Source organism: Homo sapiens, chromosome 11, assembly GCF_000001405.40.
Source record: "Homo sapiens chromosome 11, GRCh38.p14 Primary Assembly".
In the NCBI taxonomy this organism is placed as follows: Eukaryota; Metazoa; Chordata; class Mammalia; order Primates; family Hominidae; genus Homo; species Homo sapiens.
Window position 1 is genome coordinate 19,203,443 of NC_000011.10, and position 20,185 is coordinate 19,223,627.

The window sequence follows — 20,185 nt, forward strand, 5'->3', positions numbered from 1 at the left end:
CAATGTGCTGAGATTACAGGCTTGAGTCACTGAAACTGGTCAACCAATAGTAGCTTTAAAATTTTTTTTGTGTGTGTGTTTGCATCAGAATACTTTTTTCTGTAGATAAGAGGAAAATCAGTATATAAAGCAGATAAAAGAGGAGCTTCCAGTGATGATGAGCATTTTTTCATGTGTCTTTTGGCTGCATAAATGTCTTCTTTTGAGAAGTGTCTGTTCCTATCCTTCGCCCACTTGTTGATGGGGTTGTCTGTTTTTTTTTCTTGTAAATTTGTTTGAGTTCATTGTAGATTCTGGATATTAGCCCTTTGTCAGATGAGTAGATTGCAAAAATTTTCTCCCATTTTTGTAGGTTGCCTGTTCACTCTGATGGTAGTTTCTTTTGCTGTGCAGAAGCTCTTTAGTTTAATTAGATCCCATTTGTCAATTTTGGTTTTGTTGCCATTGCTTTTGGTGTTTTAGACATGAAGTCCTTGCCCATGCCTATGTCCTGAATGGTATTGCCTAGGTTTTCTTCTAGGGTTTTTATGGTTTTAGGTCTGAGAAATGCAAATCAAAACCACGATGAGATACCATCTCACACCAGTTAGAATGGCGATCATTAAAAAGTCAGGAAACAGTTGCTGGAGAGGATGTGGAGAAATAGGAACACTTTTACACTGTTGGTGGGACTGTAAACTAGTTCAACCATTGTGGAAGTCAGTGTGGTGATTCCTCAGGGATCTAGAACTAGAAATACCATTTGACCCAGCCATCCCATTACTGGGTATATACCCAAAGGATTATAAATCATGCTGCTATAAAGACACATGCACACTTATGTTTACTGTGGCACTATTCACAATAGCAAAGACTTGGAACCAACCCAAATGCCCAACAATGATAGACTGGATTAAGAAAATGTGGCACATATACACCATGGAATACTATGCAGCCATAAAAAATGATGAGTTCATGTCCTTTATAGGGACATGGATGAAGCTGGAAACCATCATTCTCAGCAAACTATCACAAGGACAAAAAACCAAACACCGCATGTTCTCACTCATAGGTGGGAATTGAACAATGACAACACATGGACAAGGAAGTGGAACTCACACACCGGGGCCTGTTGTGGGGTGGGGGGGGGGGGGTAGGGATAGCATTAGGAGATATACCTAATGCTAAATGACGAGTTAATGGGTGCAGCACACCAACATGGCACATGCATACATATGTAGCTAACCTGCACATTGTGCACATGTGCCCTAAAACTTAAAGCATAATAAATAAATAAATAAATAAATAAATAAATAAATAAAGAGGAGCTTCCATGCATAAGTTGGAGTTGAACAATGAGAACACATGGACACAGAGAGGGGAACAACACACCCCAGGGCCTGCTGTGGGGTGGGGGATGGGTGAGGAGAGGGAACTTAGAGGATGGATCAATAGGTGCAGAAACCACCGTGGCACACGTATGCCTATGTAACAAACCTGCACACTCTGCACATGTATCCCGTTTTATTTTTTTAGGAGAACAAAGGAAAAAATAAAGTTATAATTAAGCATTAAAAAATAAAAGGAGCTTCCTTGCTTGAAATGAATGCTGCACTTTGACCGTCACGTCTTGCCCTCTTTGCACATTCTGAACTTGCCTTTACACACCTCCCCACAACATGATGTGTAGTTTCAGTTTTGGATTGTAATTAGTTTTGTTCATTATGGGTTAGTACTTACTTAAACCTAATGATAAATTTTAGTGCTTTCTTCACTCAATTACTGTTTTGTTATTGTTGTTGTTTGTTTTTTGAGATGGAGTTTTGCTCTTGTCACCCAGGCTGGAGTGCAGTGGCGCAGTCTCAGCTCACTGCAACCTCTGCCTCCTGGGTTCAAGTGATTCTCCTGCCTCAGCCTCCCAAGTAGCTGGGGTTACAGGTGCCCACCACCATGCCTGGCTAATTTTTGTATTTTTAGTAGAAACGGGGTTTCACCGTGTTGGCCAGGCTGATGTCGAACTCCTGACCTCAGGTGATCCAACCAACTCAGCCTCCCAATTACTGTTCTTTATTTACTTTTTGTACCTTACATTTTTAATTCTGTGTGTGTGCATGTGTGTGTGTGTGTGTGTGTGTGTGTGTGTGTGAGGTAAATCATTCTCGATGAATTCATTGAGAGAGTCTGCTGTAAACTTACTGAATTATCACATAATGTAACAAATGCCATAGACAGGCTGGTTTAAACAACAGAAACTTATTTTTGCACAATTCCAGCAACTGGAAGTTCAAGACCAACGTGCTGGCAGGGTTGGTTTCTTCTGAATGTAGATGGCTGTTTTCTCTCTGTATCTGCACACGGTCTTCCTTGTGTATCTGGGTCCTAATTTCCTCTTCTTACAAGGACAGCAGTCATATTGGATTAGGAGCCACCCATATGATTTCATTTTAACTTAATTACCTCTTTAAGAACCCTATCTCTAAATACAGTCCCGTTCTGAGCTACTGGGAGTTAGGACTTCAACATACGAATTTTGGAGGGACACTATCCCGCCCCTCATAGTCTTCATTTTGCTTTCACTTGAATGCTAGTTTGGTTAAATTTAGGAATCTCTATCCAAAATAATTTTCAGTCAGACCTTTGAAAACTGTCTTCAATTATTTTTAGTAACGTACATGACAGTTTGGTGCCAGTCATATTCATGTTCCTTTATTGACTTGTCTTGTTTCCTCTAGAAACTTTCAGGATCTTCTCTTGAATTTTATGACAATTTCCTGTGTTACGGCCTTTTAAATTTTATTTTGCTTGAAATTTAGTGGATGAGTTCAACTTGAAAACTCACTTTTTTTCCTTTAGGAAATTTCCTTTTATTATTTCTCTCATTAATCCCTCCCTATATGTAATGTTTCCTCTTGCTGAAACTCTCATTAGAAGTTAGAATTTCTTTGTCCTTTTATGTTTATTAAGGGAGAATTCCTTAGCTCAATCTTACATGGAACTAATTTGCATTTCCTCCATGTACATTCTGCTCAGCTCATCTACTGATTTTAAAATAATTACATTTATAATTTTTAAGATACCTAATTTTTTCATATAGCCCATCCTTGCTTTATAAATGACATATCATCTTGCATCTCTCTGGGGATATTCATTATACTAACTTGGGGGAAGTCTTCTTTGTTTGCTCTATCAATTATGTTTTCTTGGATATTTGTTCTTTTGTGTGTTGAGTTTGGTGTTTCATCTTCATAGTGCTGGTTTTTCAACTATATTTGGGATTTTTGGATATGTGTTTACCATGTCATTTGAGAATTTCTGTTTTCCTTTTGGTGGATACCACCTCTGATTAAAGGAGCTTTCCCGCAGGGACTGTGGGACAGGGATGGAGCCTGCTACCAGGTGTGTGCAGTGGCGGTGTGTTTCCTGGGTGTGAGCTGTCCCACTCTCTCTGGAGGTCACTGGTTCTATGGGGAGTTCCCTGGGATTTCTGGCCCCTTAGTCTGGAGCCACACTGGAAAGTGAGGAAAGCTCCTAGCCCTGGACCCATCTTCTTATCCATCACCCTTGTGATAGCCCAGGGTGCCTTCCACTCTGCATGTCCCAGGACATGCAAGTTTGGGATGTCCCAGGACAGCTCCTGCCTCGCCACACGCTGCTACACTGCTGTGGCCAGGACTTCTCGCTCTGTTAATCCACAGCCTTCTGCTTTCTCTCTGGAATTCTTTGAAATTTCTCACTTGTTAGTGGACACTTCTTTTTATGGTGTTGTTTTCAGTGTTCTCTCTAATTTATTTTCTTTTAAATCACTTTCTGGAGTTCTAGGGTCTGTCAGCATTCTCCAGCACTGTGCTGTCCAACACAGTAGCCATAACTGCACGTGGCTATATAAGTTGAAATTATTTAAGATACGTAGAATGTAAAAGTCAGTTTCTCAGTCACAGAAGCCACATTCCAAGTGCTTAACAGCCACATGTGACTAGTGCCTCCACAGTGAAGAGGATAGCTACAGAATGCTTCCATCACTGCAGAAAGGTCTCTTGGACAGCACTGCTCTACATCTTCTGAATCTGAAAAGTGAAGAAATTCCTAAATCCCTTTTGAGATGCTATGAGGAATAGGTGACAGTAAGCCCGTGTTGTGCACACAGCAGGGTGCTCAATCAGTACAAGCTGAACGTCCACTCAATGGCAAGTGAATTGGTGGTGCTGGGACTGGAACCTGCTGTTTCTGCCTCATTGTTCCCAGAATTACCATAAACAGGTGAACCATTGAGAAACAGAGGGCATGAAGGAGACCAGGCAAAAGCGTGAACCAGGACAGTGAGGGCGACCTGAAATCACATGCCTTAAAACACTGCCTTTATACCCCAAATCAGAAAAAGAGAGCTCAATTAGAAACAGTGATTTATTTAATCCTCACAAGAACTTTGTCAAGAAGGCATTATTATTCTTCCCCTGGTATGAATGAGGAATGAAATAAATGCAGTCCATGAAAATGAACTAAATCTCTTACGCCACACAGTTAGGTCAACGGGAAATTCACGGCGATGTTAGGACCAGTATCCATTGCTTCCTCATTCGTATTCCTTAGGATAACTAAAAATTAGTAAGTCAGGGGGAAACACACATCACAAAGGTGATGAGGAAATTCAAACCCAGATCTAACCCAAAACCCTTCCACAACATGGTTCCAAAATGTGTTTGATTATGGTCCCCTCATAAAACATTTTTGAGCAATACACACGTGCACAAACACACACACAGTATAAAACATATTCACAATGATGCACTAAAAAGATATTAAATAGAATACAAGTCTCAATCTTTTGTCTCATACTCTAGCATTATTTCTCATGTTTCCTAGGGGGCTCCCCACCTCCTACTTTGAGAATCACTGATCTAAACCATGCCACATAAAAGAGGGAACATTTTGTGAGAGGGACTTGCAGGCTTGGGAATCTCAGCTTCCATCTGCTCATCTAAACCGCTCTGAAAAGAAACATAATTGGACCATAATGTATTCAATGTCAGCCACATTCTTTGAGTAACTAGGGCTTTTCACTATTTCTGTGCACCAGTGGTCTGATATTTGTCACTGGCTCTTATTTCAAAAAGAGAATTAACTCTAACCTACCATTCAGAGGTTGCTCCTGACCATGCGTTGCGTCTGTGAAAAGCATGGAAATGGGCAAAGCAACACATAAGTGCATCAAGATGGTTCTTTTTTTCCAAGAAATAATAACAAATGTCATCTTTACTGAAATGAAATGAGACTTGATGAAACAAATGGCTCATTTATTTACATCATCCAGATTTTTAAAAACGGGCCTCCTTATTTTCATGGCCATTCACTGCTTGCTGTGATAACAGTGTTTTCAGCTTAAAAGCACTATGATGTGTTTGATTCTCTCTTGGGTGCAATTTCTCTCCTCTGTGTCCCTTTATCTCTGTTTCTGCCTCTCTCTGAATCAAAGGGAAGATATAGGTGTTATTATCCCCTTTTTATAGATGAAGAACTTTGTTTGAGAAGTTAGGTTACACAGCTAGTATATGGTAAAGTCAAACCTTGAACTCAGATTCTCTGTTCCAGAGCCAATGCTCTGATGGAAATTTTAACTAGTAGAATTGCTTTAGTCAGAATTTGATCTAGTTGGCATTATGTAGTTGGGAGAGAGGACAGGGTGGGGCTGAGCACCCACATAGCCAACGTACCAGCTTAACTTTATCTTGCACTGAGAGATTAGCAGGGTTTTACAGAAACAGTCCGACAGATTCAGAAGAGGCTGTGCCTACATTTGCTATTCAGCTGGTACAAAGCCTTTAGGAGAAGCCTGGAGCAGCACAAGTCCCCAAAGTGGGTATCACATGGCCAGCAAATCGACAGAAGTAAATCAAATTGCAGAGGTTCAGAGTGGATCAGTGGGATTGTCTTAGGAGGTGTTTCCATGGGCTGTGTAGTCTTTATGACTCTTCACCTGTGTCAACAACAGGCACTTCAATGTCTTTTGAATTTAGCCCTTCCTTTGTGCCTCCTCTTCTTATTGCCCCAGTTCAGATGTATTGCCTAGACTTTTTCAGAAGCCCCCCACCCAGGTTTCCCACTTCCCTTCCATTTGTTACACCACCACCAGAGTCATCTTTCAAAACCTGGATCTGATGATGGCACCCTTCAGCTCGCAGACTTCTGTTAGTGCCCCCTTACTATAAGATCATGTTAAAAATTTTGACATCATTTTCAAATTTCTTCATCTTGCTCCAGATTAACTTTCCCACTTCTTCTCCCACCATCCCACTTTCCTTTATCCTATCTACCAACCTCTTCAGTCTAATCACTGTTCTCCAAAAATAGCCAGTACTTTCATGCCTCTACGCTTTGCTCATGCTCCCTCCTCTGCCTGGAATGTCCTCCGCCTCCTTCACCTCCTCCCTCTGGTGGAATCTTCCTCATCCTTCAATAAACAGCCCAAATGGCCTCTTCAGGGGAAGCCTCCATCCCTAACCTTTCCAGGTAGGATGTGATACTCTGCACTGGGACCTTAAAACATGCTCTCATTATGGGGAACTTTGTCTGGTTGTATGCGTGTCTTTTTGGATCATTAGATGGTGAACTCCTCTGTAAAAAAGAGAGCATCTTATTTGTCTTTGGGTCCTCAATGCTAGCACCTCGTAGGCATTTAGAAGTTGAAGTTGAATTTATTCATGTAGCTGAATAATTTTGAGAGGTCTTGAAAGGGCTACATTCCTACCATATCTGAGATAAGCTGCAAGAGATAAAGCACAAATTCAGCAAAAAACATTTACTTACTTAAGTCTATAGCCACTCCATCTAAACATAAAGATTGGATGCATTTTTATAATAGCTGGGAGCCTTTTTTTTTTTTTTTTTTGGCTTTCCCAATAAGTTTGTGCTGTGTCTATAGTGTAATAACACTGGATTGGAATGAATAGTTATGGGTTTCTAGTCTTAACTTTTCTATTAATTAGCTGTGTGCCCTCTGACAAGTCAGTTCTCCTTTCTAGTTCCTTACTTACAGAATATTCGTGTGAGGCAGATGATTCCTAAGGTGCTCTCTCTCTTTTTTTTTTTTTTTTTTTGAGACGGAGTCTGGCTCTGTCGCCCAGTCTGGAGTGTAGTGGCGCGATCTCGGCTCACTGCAAGCTCCGCCCCCCAGGTTCACGCCATTCTCCTGCCTCAGCCTCCCGAGTAGCTGGGACTACAGGCACACGCCGCCACGCCCGGCTAATTTTTAGTAGAGACGGGGTTTCACCGTGTTAGCTAGGATGGTCTCGATCTCCTGACCTCGTGATCCGCCCGCCTCGGCCTCCCAAAGTGCTGGGATTACAGGTGTGAGCGACCGCGCCCGGCCGGTGCTAATTCTATAATTTGATAATTCTTATTTTCCAGTTAGGAAAACTAAGTCTTTACTTCCCTTGGAGCATGATGGAGCTTAACCAACAAAGGGTAAACTTTCTACATTGTCATAAAAACATCTTTGTCCTACTATGACCCTATTACCAAAAAATGTGGGTATTAGAAATGGTACACGGTATTTTATGAAGTGAGAACTCCTGATATGGGGAAAAACAAAAACAGAAAAAGGCAGACGCAGCTAACAACCAAAAAAACTCCTTATTGCTAAAACATCAGAGTTCTGCTCCTTTAAAGTTGGAAGGCCTCACATCAGGAGAAGAAAAAGACCTCAGAAAGATTAGTTGATCTTTTGTGTTCACAAAGACGAAGGAGTTAAGTCGTCAAGCCCCCCCGAAAGATGGTTTGGAGTAAAAGGAGAAGATGCTTGCATGTCGAGTTTAAAACTCGGGTCCTCGGGGAATGCATTCTACAAAGTGACACAGGTCCAAAGAGAATCAGAATCTTCAAGGTGGTGTGTGCAGCGGTGTCACTGCCCCTTAATGGATGCTGTGACAATTACCCTTTATATAAGAAGAGATCTGAGAGTCCCCCAATATTCTGAAGTGCTGTATTCCAATTTCTTAAAGATAGTCTTGGTCGGGCGCGGTGTCTCACGCAGGTAATCCCAGCACTTTGGGAGGCCGAGGCGGGTGGATCACCTGAGGTGGGGAGTTTGAGACCAGCCTGACCAACATGGAGAAACCCGGTCTCTACTAAAAATACAAAATTAGCCGGGCATGGTGGCGCATGCCTGTAATCCTAGCTACTCAGGAGGCTGACGCAGGAGAATCGCTTGAACCCAGGAGGCGGAGGCTGCAGTGAGCAGAGATCATGCCATTGCACTCCAGCCTCGGTGAAAAGAGTGAAAGTCCATCTCAAAAAACAAAACAAAACAAAAACAAAAATATAGTCTTTATATTTTAGAGCAATTTTAGGTTCACAGCAAAACTGAGTGGAAAATACAGAGTTTCCATACATCCCCTGCTCCCACACATGCATTGCCCCGCCCACTATCAACACTCTGCACTGGAGTGGTACATTTGTTGCAATCAATGAGCCTACAATGTTACATCATTATCTCCCAAAGTCTATAGTTGACATCAGAGTTCACTCCTATGGTTGTTCATTCTGTGGGCTTGGACAAATGTATAATGACACGTATCCACTATTATATCATCATACAGAATAATTTCACTGCCTTAAAAATCCTTTATGCTCCATCTATTCATCTCTTCTCCACTAGCCTCTGTCAACTACTGATCTTTTTACAGTCTCCATAGTTTTGCCTTTTCCAGACTATCATATAGTTGAAACCACATAGGATTGTAGCCGTCTCATATTGGCTTCTTTCACTTACCAATGTGCATTTAAGGTTCTTCCATGTCTTTTCATGGCTTGAGAGTGCATTTCTTTTTAGCATTGAATAATATTCCCCTGCCTGGATGTGCCACAGTTTATCTATGTATTCAACTACTGATGACCATCTTGGTTGCTTCCAAGTTTTGGCAATTATGAATAAAGCTGCCATAAACATTTGTGTGCAGATTTTCATGAGGACATAGTTCTTGTGCAGACATTACTCATTTGGGTAAATACCAAATAGTTTGATTGCTGGATTATATGATAAAAGTAAATTTAGTTTTCTAAGAAACTGCCAAACTGTCTTCCAATGTGCCTGTGCCATTTTGCATTTCCATCAGCAATAAATGAAAGCCCTCGTTGCACCGCATCCTCACCAGCGTTTGGTGTTGTCAGTGTTTTGAATTTTGGCCATTCTAATACACGTGTAGTGGTATCTCATTGTTGTTCTAATTTGCAATTTCCTAATCACATATGATATTGAGCATGTTTTCATTTTCTTATTTGCTCCCTGTATATGTTTGGTGAGGTGTCTGTTCAGGTCTTTTGACCATTTTTTAAATTGGGTTGTTCATTTTCTTATTCTTCAGTTTTAAGAGTTCTTTTTATATTTTGGATAACAGTCCTTTATCAGATGTGCCTTTTGCATATTTTCATATTTTATTCCAGTCTGTGGCTTGTCTTCCCATTCTCTTGACAGCATCTCTTGCAGGTTTTTTTTTTTTTTTTGCAGAACACTGCAAAAATGTTCTTCCTTTTTAAAATATACCTTTTCAAGCTAAATTCCACTTTTAAATTGCTTTAGCAGAAATATTAACTATCCAGAAATGTCTTCCCAGTCCACAGAAATAGGATTTATTTTATTTGTATTTCCTGAACTTATGAATTAGTAGAAATAGAAGTTAGAAAAATCACCTGTGTTCAAATTTGAGTTATAACTTTGAATGTGCATTTCAAATATTCATTGAGGGAATGTCCTGGGGTGGCAGACTTCAACCCTGTTTCCTAAATTTTGCTATATCTCATGCCATAGGTTAAGGGACTTCAACTAATATCCCACAAGTGCATAGGATATGACATTTATTTCTCACCGAGTATACCTACTGTCACGGCAACCTTCGCCAGCGGAATGTAGACTAAGTAGATGGTGAGGTGTTTAGTCTGGGGAACTAAGTGTATGTGTGTGAGTGAGGAACACTTTCCTGAGAAGATTAGCTGGAACCTAAGAAAGGTTTCCTGTCTCCTAGAAGATGGGAGGATTTTGCCTCATGAGTATTTGCGAGAAAGTGGTTAAGGCAATAAGGAGCTCTGGTCACAGGATGACATGGTGCTAGGAAGGGGCCAAGTATAGAGTATGACAACTGTGGATCTTTTTATATATGTGGTCCCTTTTACAGAGGCTGAGATATGGTGCTGGAGGCTGTGTTATAGTTATTGTTGACTTGTTTGGTGATGTTTCTCTATGAGTTTCTTCTAGTGAGTTGTCTCCAAATGCTAGAATTTGAAAGTGCAATAAGAAGTTCCAGAAGCTATAGGGCCAGTACAGGTAGACCACAAAACCTAACAACCATCAGACCCTATAATATTTTCAGTCTGTAAAGAAAGACTGCATTATGCATACTCTCCTAGACCTGTGAAAGGAGAAATCATGAAATAACCTTCATTAAAAAATTTTCCTGGCATAGGCTAAGAAAATCGAGTATCATGTTCTATTATGGCAATTGGCATAAATATTGGAAATGAAGATCATGTTCCAGGGATTGATAATCTTAAATACATGCCATGTGAGAAATAGTCCAAGGGACCAGGCACATTTATTCAAAGATGAATTGGTGATGGTAGGAATATGAAAACTTATAGCAAACTTTCAAATATCTAATGAACTGTCATATATATTAGGAGGGAAGAAATTTGTTCCAAGAAAGGGAAAAACTAGGACCAATAGACATTGCAGATAGATAGACTGATATTGTTTCAATGTAAAGGAAAATTAGTGTCTGAGAAGGTAGTGCATCCTTTTTCAATTTACAGCAATTGGAAAATGAAATAATGTTTACAGCCCATGGTGAAAAAGAGTAGCACAGCGGTTCCCACCTGCCTAAGGGCTGAGATGATTAATATCTTGCCAACCTGTAACCCAGTCCCAGCACAGTGATTGGGAAGCTCTGCATTGATGGGATTGCTGGTCTCTGAAAATAGTAAATTCCCCACCTTAGGAACCCTTCAAGTAGAGCCTGGAAACAACCTGGATGGCGGTGTTGTAATGGCAATTTTAAAATGCTTTTAAATGTATGTACTTTTTATTACAGTTTCATAAGTTCTGACAAATGCACAGATTCACATAATCACCACTGTGATCAACACACAGAACAGTTCTACCATCACCCCAAAATTATTTTGAGCTACTCTTTTGTAGTCACACCTATTCCCATTCCTAAGCTCTTGCAACCACTGATCTGCTCTCTATCCCTATAGTTTTGCCTTTTCCAGAAGGTCATATAAGTGAAATCACACAGTAGCTAGCCTTTTGAATAAGGTTCCTTTCACTTAGCTTAGTGCATTTGAGATTCATCCACACTGTTGACTCATCCATGGTTTGTTCCTTTTTATTGCTGAGTAGTAGTTGATTGTATGGTTGTGCCACCATGCCCATTCATTCACCAGCTGAAGAATACTCGGGGGACTTCTGGCTTCTAGCCCAACATTTTAGGAGATTAGAAGTCATCACTTTAGGCCAGGTGTGGTAGCTCATGCCTGCAATCCCAGCACTTTGGGAGGCCGAGGTGGGCAGATCACAAGGTCAGGAGATCGAGACCATCTTGGCTAACACGGTGAAACCCCGTCTGTACTGGGAAAAAAAAAAAAAAAAAAGCTGGGCGTGGTGGCAAGCAACTGTAGTCCCAGATACTTGGGAGGCTGAGGCAGGAGGATGGCGTGAACCCGGAAGGTGGAGCTTGCAGTGAGTTGAGCTCCCGCCACTGCACTCCAGCCAGGGCGACAGAGCAAAACTGTCAAAAAAAAAAAAAAAAAAAAAAAAGTCATCACTTTATCCTAACAAGTAAAAAGCTGAACAAACTGAAAACTAACAGCTCTTCTTAGCTCCATGAAATAATTGAAATCACAGGACAAACCGCTCTCCCCAATTTGGGCAGAGAATGGATCAAAGAACCCACAATTTACTGGAGCAGAAATCTCAGTGGGAACTAGTGTTGAGTTAATTTAACCAGTACATTATAGCTGGCTTTAAACAAAAAATTACAAGAACATGCTAATAAGCAAGAAACAGAGTTTGAAGAGACAGAGCAAGCATCAGTATCAGACTCAGAAATGACAGGGATGTTTGAATTATTAGAACAGGAATTTTAAACAATTATGATTAATATATTAAGGAGTCTAGTGGAAAAAGTACACACTATGCAAGAACAGATAGGTCATGTAAGCAGAGAGATGAAAATATTAAGAAAGAATATAAAATAAATGTTAGAAATCAACTCTGTAATCAAAATGAAGGACTTTGATGGGCTTACTAGCCAACTGGACACAGCTGATGAAAGGATCAGTGAGCTTGAGGCTATGTCAATAGAAACTTCCCAAACTGAAAAGCAAAGGAAAAAAAGACTTATGATAAGTGGAACATAATATCCAAGAACTGTAGGACAATTATAAAAGATTTAAAGAACATACAATGAGAACACCAGATGAAGAGAGAAAAAGAAACAGAGGAAATTCTTGAAGCAGTAAAGACTGAAAAGTTCCCAAAATTAATGTCAGACACCAAACTACAAATACAGGAAGCTCAGAGAACACCAAGCAGGATAAAGGGCTGTTATTTGGTTTGTTTCCAGTTTGGGGGCAATTATGAATAAATATGCTACAAATATTAATATACAGCATTGTTTTTTGTACACATAACTCTTCATTTTTGAAGGTAAATATCTGAGTGGAATTTCTGGGTCATATGGTAAGTCTATGTGCAAGTTCATAAGAAACTCCCGAATCATGTTTCAAAGTGCCTGTGGGTTCCCACTAACCACGTCCAGTTGCTCTGCATCTTCACCAGCGTTTGCTGTGATCAATCTCATTTTGCTGTTTCTTAAGTTTTAGCCATTTTAACAGATGTGTAGTGGTATTTCAGTGTGATGTTAATTTGCATTTCTCTAATAAATAAATAATGATGGTGAGCTTTTTTTTTTTTTTTTTTTTTTTAGACGGAGTCTCTCTGTCACCAGGCTGGAGTGCAGTGGCGCTATCCCAGCTCACTGCAACCTCTGACTCCCTGGTTCAAGTGATTCTTCTGCCTCAGCCTCCCAAGTAGCTGGGATTACAGGCATACACCACCACGTACAGCTAATTTTTGTATTTTTAGTAGAGACAGGGTTTCACCGTGTTAGCCAGGATGGTCTTGATCTCCTGAACTTGTGATCGGCCTGCTTCAGCCTCCAAAGTGCTAGGATTACCGGCGTGAGCCACAGCGCCCGGCTGATGTTGAGCATTTTTTAACGTGCTTTTTTGCTAACTATACATCTTGTTCAGTGAAGTGACTATTCAAATCTTTTATCCATCTAAAAATTGGATTGTTTTCTTATTGTAGAGTTTTGAGAGTTTGTTGTATGTTCTGGAAACAAGTCAAAGGTGCTGTTAAAATAATCCGGAGAATGTTGACTTTTGTTTATTTTGGTAGGCAACCAGGCTGGTTAAGTTCATACCACAAGTTGTGTCTTGCCTTCTGAGGGTGGTGGTTCCAATGTCAAAGCCAAGAGGTAAAGAAGGAAAGAAAAACCCAGTAAGCTCCCTGGCATACAAGCTATTCTTCTCTCAGGTAATAGTGTTTGTATTCTGCCCAGAGATTTTAGTTATAATCAGTGGAGGAGATAGGCTGTAATGGGCTTACTTTGTCGTGTTTAGCACTAGTTCTGTAATGGCAATTTAAATACTGGACAGTGATTTTCCCAGATCATTAGTCATCAAACCTAGCAACAAATCAGAATTACCAGAGACACTTTGTTTGTTTATTTACATAATTTTTTTGAGACAGGATCTTACTCTGTCACCCAGGCTGGAGTGCCGTGGTATAATCATGGCTCACAGTATCCTCTACCTTCTAGGTTTAAGTGATCCTCCCACCTCAGCCTTCTGAGTAGTTGGGATTACAGGCATGCACCACCATGACCAGGTAATTTTTAAAATATTTTTTGTAGAAATGGGTCTCACTATGTTGCTCAGGCTGGTCTCAAATTCCTGGGCTCAAGTGATCTTCCTGCCTCGGACACACAAAATGCTGGCATTACAGGTGTAAGCTACCATGGCTGGCTTCCTGGGAAGCTTGAAATAATATAGATTTAAGGGTTCTACCCTAGACCCATCTCCATTAGAAGCCCAAGAATCTGTCAAAGATGCTTTCTGGTGTTTCTAATACAGCCAACCTGGGACTGATTTGGGGGCCCAAAGTCAGGGTTAAGCTTGGAAGTTTGTGAAGCCCTGGATAAGACGATCTCCAGGGTCCTTTCCAGCCCTGAGATCCTTAGGCTCTATATTATTCAGAATATCCCATTCACAAAGATGCTTGTTAATGAGGTGCCATTCTATTCATTTCTCTCAAAATTTCAGCTGAAGCTGTAGATCACATAGGTCATCTTGACAAAGGTCCCAGAGAAGATTAAAAATATGTAACTGATAGCAAGGTCAAGATATTAAAACCAAAAGGAGAACGGATGGTCTCCCAATCTGTAAGATTAGTTTCATGGAAATAACAACTTCTTGCAATAATAGCGGCAATAAAATTTAAATCTGCCTTATATAGTGTTTGCCAAGAGGAATATCATGTGTGCTCAAGTCCGAAGATTAGTGGTTTCATTAAGAGCCTCCTTTCCTCCCTAGGATCAGCTCTTTCCCATACATTTGATAAAACTCTTTTGGTTGAGCGCAGGTTCTGCTTATGTGCTAGGAATCGCCAGAGAGTTTGAATTTGCTTTTCATAAAAATTTATTTCTAAGGACCTCAGAAATCATCTCCTTGGGATCACTTCTATAAGGATGCAAGAGGAAACCAGCCCTGACAGGTTAAGTGCCTTATTAGCGAGTCTGAACTGGGGCTTGAAGCCAGATTTTGGCTCCTAGGTTGTGCATGTCTTACTTCTCTGAGTTGAGTCAAGTGAGATGTTGGATGCAGAGCCTCTGAGCATGTTAACAACAACAGGTCAGATAGCTGCAGTTGGCAGTGGCTGAGCTCCATGCAAGGCATTTGTAAAGGGTGCTTTGACCTAAAATGTTTCAGCTCCTGGATTTGCAGCTATGAAAATACTGGCAACTAAAATGGCTCAGAACTTGCAAAGTGCCAACTTGCTGGCACATCGTATTCTCTGGGCACTGGGAAGTGGATGGCCCTTGGCTCTCTCTGGAAATTTTTTCGCCCCATTTCCTCTCAAAAGTGCCACATGGTATTGTATAGCCAGGGCTTAATCAGGTGAAGCGGAATCTCTATGAGTTATGAAGTAAATGATTTCTTACAGAAATCAGATCTTACACAATTGTGAGAGAAACTGGGGGAATAAAGGTTGGAAAGGGCTCGTTGGAAGATCGGAGTCGCAAACCGGACAATCTGAGAAGCTGAGCATGTCCAGCCACCACAGAGGGACTGTGCGGGAGGAGCTGGTGGTAGAGGAATATATAGGGGGTTGGTGCCTCTGTGGGTCTGCATGGAAGCTTCTGGTGACAGGGCTGGAGCAGCTGCTCTTCAGCAGGACCCGCCCTCAGGAGGAGGCTGTGGACAAAACCTGGAGGACAGCCAGGCAGCTGGAGTCAGGGACACTTTTGTGTCGTCATTGCATCACATTGCCCTGGCCTTCTGAGAGGAATGGTGGTTGTTTCCTTTCTCCCTCCAACATGGTGTGCAAACTCCTCTTTGGTGCTCAAAATCACAACCATAACATGAAGGGGTTTTCGTGAAATGTTCTGGCTTAAGCAACTTGATACGGAATAAATCACCTCAAGTTTAGAGCCTGAAATAGCAACAGCGGCCACGCCTTGGGACTAATGCCATGGAAGCACTGTTCTCATTTGCCATGAACAATCTGGAATCAGCCTGCCTCACCACAGTCTGAACACGCATGACGATGCCAGGCGGCCCAAGCTCTGGAGTGCGGGCCTCAGCTCCAGGCACAGCTGCACGCACACGCTGGCGCTGCACAGGGTCTGTCCCTCAAGCTTTCTGAAATTAACTTCCTCAAAATGGGGCCAATAATAACTACCTCGCAATACTCTTTGGAAGTAGATATAATAGTAGATGCTCAATAAAAATTATTCCTTTTCTCTCCCAAGTGCCACTTGTTCCCCTGGGTCATATAGGACCTGTCCTCTTTCTCAGAATGTCTCCAGGTAGAAATGACTTTATCAAACTCCAACTTGTTCAACCCGCCTTATTTTGCTGTTGTTCTGTTTTGTTTAGTTTTAGGCTTTGAGCAGCCTGAAGCTATGGTTTTTAGTTTCTGTCTCTAGTGATAAGCAGAAAAGAGGGGTGAGAAAGGGGCTTTACTGGTTCAACTAGAAATAGAAACTAAGAGCCCATGAGTGTATTCTCTCCCTTGGACGCCGCTGGAAGTGTTGAATTTTGATAATGAATATAGGTATGTAATTTATATTTAGCATTCCTGGCATTTCATCGTGGTCCTAGTTGCAAGTATTGACAAGTTCCAGTTTGTTGGATAGTGATAAAAAACACTGATTGGCATGGGAAACATCTGCCATCAATTCATAGCCTTTTCCTGCAGGAGAGGGATGGAGCCCTTCTTAGGCAGTTAGACCAAAATCTATTGACTTGGACATGCAAGATCTATTGGTTTAGAAAAGTGAGTTTGGTAACATGAGTTCCCTGGGGATCCTTCAATTTTCCTGGGTCAGAAGAGATAAATTACAATTCCATAAAGGTATTTTGCCATATAGGAGGGAAGCAAACATATATATGTACTCATGAATCTTTACATATAAATACATATCTGTACATATTCATATAAAGCAAAAGAGATGCTACATATAATATTTTTAGATATATGTACTTAAAGTCATATAAAAACATATATACATATACATGTCTATCTGAGATATAAATAATACATAAGGTAGGATAGAGGGGCAAGACAAGTAGAAGCTGATATCAAAGTTGGAGACAGACAACCACAAAAAAAAAAAAAGAACTTGAAAAGGAAAATATTCTGGAGCCATTAATTTGAAAAAGATGTGGACCTATACATTTATTAGCCCCTGAAGGCATTACGGTATCATAGGTGGCTTAAACTGTGTTTGTTGAATTTGAATTTAACAAAGCAACAGTGCTCATGAATTTCTGAAATGTGAAGAAAAGTTTAAATTATAGTCAAAGTACAGTGCTCTATTTAGGAAATGGGGAGCTATATTATCATTTTAGAAAGATTTTAATTCATAGTAACAAAATTGTTCTTATTCACGATGAACTTCTAGAAGATTCACACATAGAGGATATTTTTATGAAACAAAATAGGATAATATAGGCATTGTTTTGCATGACACAGTGCTGAGCATATGGTAAAAACTAGTAAATACTTGAAAAAGAATTCAGTATATACAGGGCCTTTTAAAAATGCACTTGATTACTTGACTGCTGGAGGACACGATAATATATTCCTTACCTACATTTTTCTACAAAATGTTGACAATCATAACAAGTCCTCATTTAGCCGCTGATTTGATTGAGCAAGTCACTGGCCTGTGTTCACTCAAATGGGAGACTAAAATGTAAAACTACTTCCTAAAAAGTTGACTAAGAAATTGATACCTTTTGTCAACCTAAAATAATAACACATTTCCTTTGAGCTTATCTCTTATTTTAAGCCCTCAAGATATGAAAACTACTACTGATAAGTACTGTAAAGAATCTGCAGTCAACTCACATTCTTTTATATAATTAGTAGGATTGCTCAGGCAGCTTATCTGCTTTAAGTTCTGAAAATCTCTTTATCCTTTATCTTCAGAAACACTAATCACTTGGGAAGGACAAGACTGAGAGAACTTGCTTTAAAGTCGATTAACAAATTTTTTTTTCATCAAATTCTATTGCTTGAGTTTCCTGGGTTTCTTGAATCTATTAGTTCAACTACTTCCCTTTCTGGTATCTGAAATTGTACTTTACATCCACTTGAGCATAGGTGAGTTGCTTGCATTTCCTGGCGAGATAAGCATTTCTGAAGGCCTTTTCTATTCATTCTTTGGCTGACTTTTGCCAGGCCCAGGGAACAGGGAACAACTAGTCTGAGAACTAGGAAGCCTTTGCTCTGGGTTTCCTTCTGTGATCTGGTAAGAGCCCTTTGGCTACCAGCCACAGAAATGACTGGCAACATTAAGCAAAAGAAACTCTTGGAAGGATAGCAAAGGCCCAGACTCAGCGGATGGCTGAAAATCTGGTTTGAAGATGGGCTGGTGCCATGGCCACTTCAGAGGCTGGGAAGCAGGAGCCTCAGCAACAGTTGCAGCAGGGACAGACAGCAAGAACAACACTGCTAGGATGAGATGGAACATCCAATCCCGGGGGGCTGGCCCAGGCTGGATGTTACATTTACAGTCCACTGGGCTCCATCCAACATGGAAAATGTCATTCCTTAGAGGAAATAAGGAGGCAGTTTGGGAAAAGAAACTTTTCCCATTGCATGCTGGCCAGATAACTTTGTCCACTACTGTGCTACTACCTAGTATCTTTAAAGTTGCTTCCAGCTTTGAAAACAAATGGAGAGTGCTTCTCCCATTAAAGCCGTTGGAATTACCACGTCTTAGCGATGTTTCCTTCTATGAATGCCTGTGAAACCAATGAACAATAATAGGACAAACCTGGAAGACTTTTGTGAACAATGGGGGTTTATGTGGCTATAATAGTTATCTATTGCTGTATAACAGTATTAGCACAAACTTATATCTTAAAATACATGTTTATTGTCTCATAGTTTCTGTGTGTCAGGAATCCATACATGGCTCAGTTTGGGTCCTCTGTAGGGTCTTATAAGGCTGCGATCAAAGTGGAACTGGGAGCTGTGGTCTCATCTGAGGCTTGACTGGGGAAAGAGCCACTCTGAGCTCATTCAGGTTGTTTGCAGAATTTGTGGCCATATGCAGGACTGATTTGTTTTTTGCTGGTTGTTGGCTACGGCCTGCCTTTTGCTGAAAGGCTGCCCACAGGCCCTTGCCACTTTGGGCCCACCGACATGGCTGCTTTGATTCCTAAAAGCCAGCAAGGGAGAGAGACTACAGCAAGATGGGCACCACAGTCTTATGACATGTGACCACATAACCACACACACAGTCACACGCCCCGTCACCTTTACTGTATCCTATTGGTTAGAAGTAAGTTACAGGTCCCAGCCACACTCAAGGGGAGGGGAGAACACAAGGGTGTAAACACCAGGAGGTGGGGATCAAGGGGCAACCTCACAAACCTGTCAGAGAAGCAGTACTGGGTGGGACAGTGTCCAGAGCTGCCTGGAAATCTAACACCTCCCTTCTTCCTATGCGTCTAATTTCCCCAGGAAGGTAATTCTTTATGTGGAGAATTGATGAGGGGAACAAAACAAAACCTTGGCTTCCAATCTCTCTAGCTCAACCACAGAGGAGAAGTGGGAGGGAGACGTAAGAACCTCCTCAGAGACACAGCAGCTGTCTGTCTTGGTGTTTCTCTCATAGTTCCGTGTAACCAATTAAATCTAGTAGCCTCTACAGAACTATATATTTTGTCTTTATCTACCACTGGGCAACTTATCTTTTCTCTTTATTGCATGGAAATGCTTTATTTATTCATGTGTACATACTATCTTTCTCAACTATAAGCACCTTGAAGGCAGGGGCCATTTCTTAAATCAGAGACCATTCACCTGTTCTCTAAGAAGGATAAAAACAAAGGTACTTTGGAGGAAATAGTTCATATTGGTTCTCTAGTGGTGGAGGAAGAGGGGTTTCTAGGTCAAGGTGCAAATCTGCCCTCTTCTAGCTGTACTTGGTTGTGCAAACAAAACATGTGTATTTGAAAGGGCTGACTTTATTAATGCTCAGATTACCCTGAATCAATGTGCTTGATTCCTACTAGAGCTGCTAGGCATGTCTCTAGAAGTAAATGGGCAATGGATAATGAGGTCCAATAGACATGAGCTGAGACTTGCATACACTAGCAGTGTGACCATGGACTTGTTGCTTTAATCCCTGTGAGCCTCAGTTGTAGCTCACAGATATGATACATTTAAAACGTATAACCCTGTCTACATATAGTAAACATGTAGGAAATAGATACTATGATGCTCCTTTAAGACCCTAACCAGGGAAAGCACTTGTCAATTCTCAAGGTGCAGTTCTTCCCATAACAAACGGGTCAAAGAGATGCACACTTAACACACTGGAACTTGTCCCTTCTCTTGGAGCTCCTGGGGGTTCTC

The 20,185-nt window shown here is 41.0% G+C and overlaps 1 long non-coding RNA gene across 1 annotated transcript in view, besides 1 other annotated feature; it reads left to right on the forward strand.

Moving 5' to 3' along the window:
- CSRP3-AS1 (CSRP3 and E2F8 antisense RNA 1) overlaps window positions 1-20,185 on the forward strand; it is a 116,546-nt gene that overhangs the window by 6,730 nt on the left and 89,631 nt on the right. The window lies entirely within an intron of this gene.
- Window positions 2,943-6,654: an enhancer, noted in NCBI's record as "VISTA enhancer hs2145". NCBI's record gives its function as "enhancer in: heart[4/6] | tail[5/6]" and the evidence as "EXISTENCE:transgenic organism evidence [ECO:0001131][PMID:17130149]".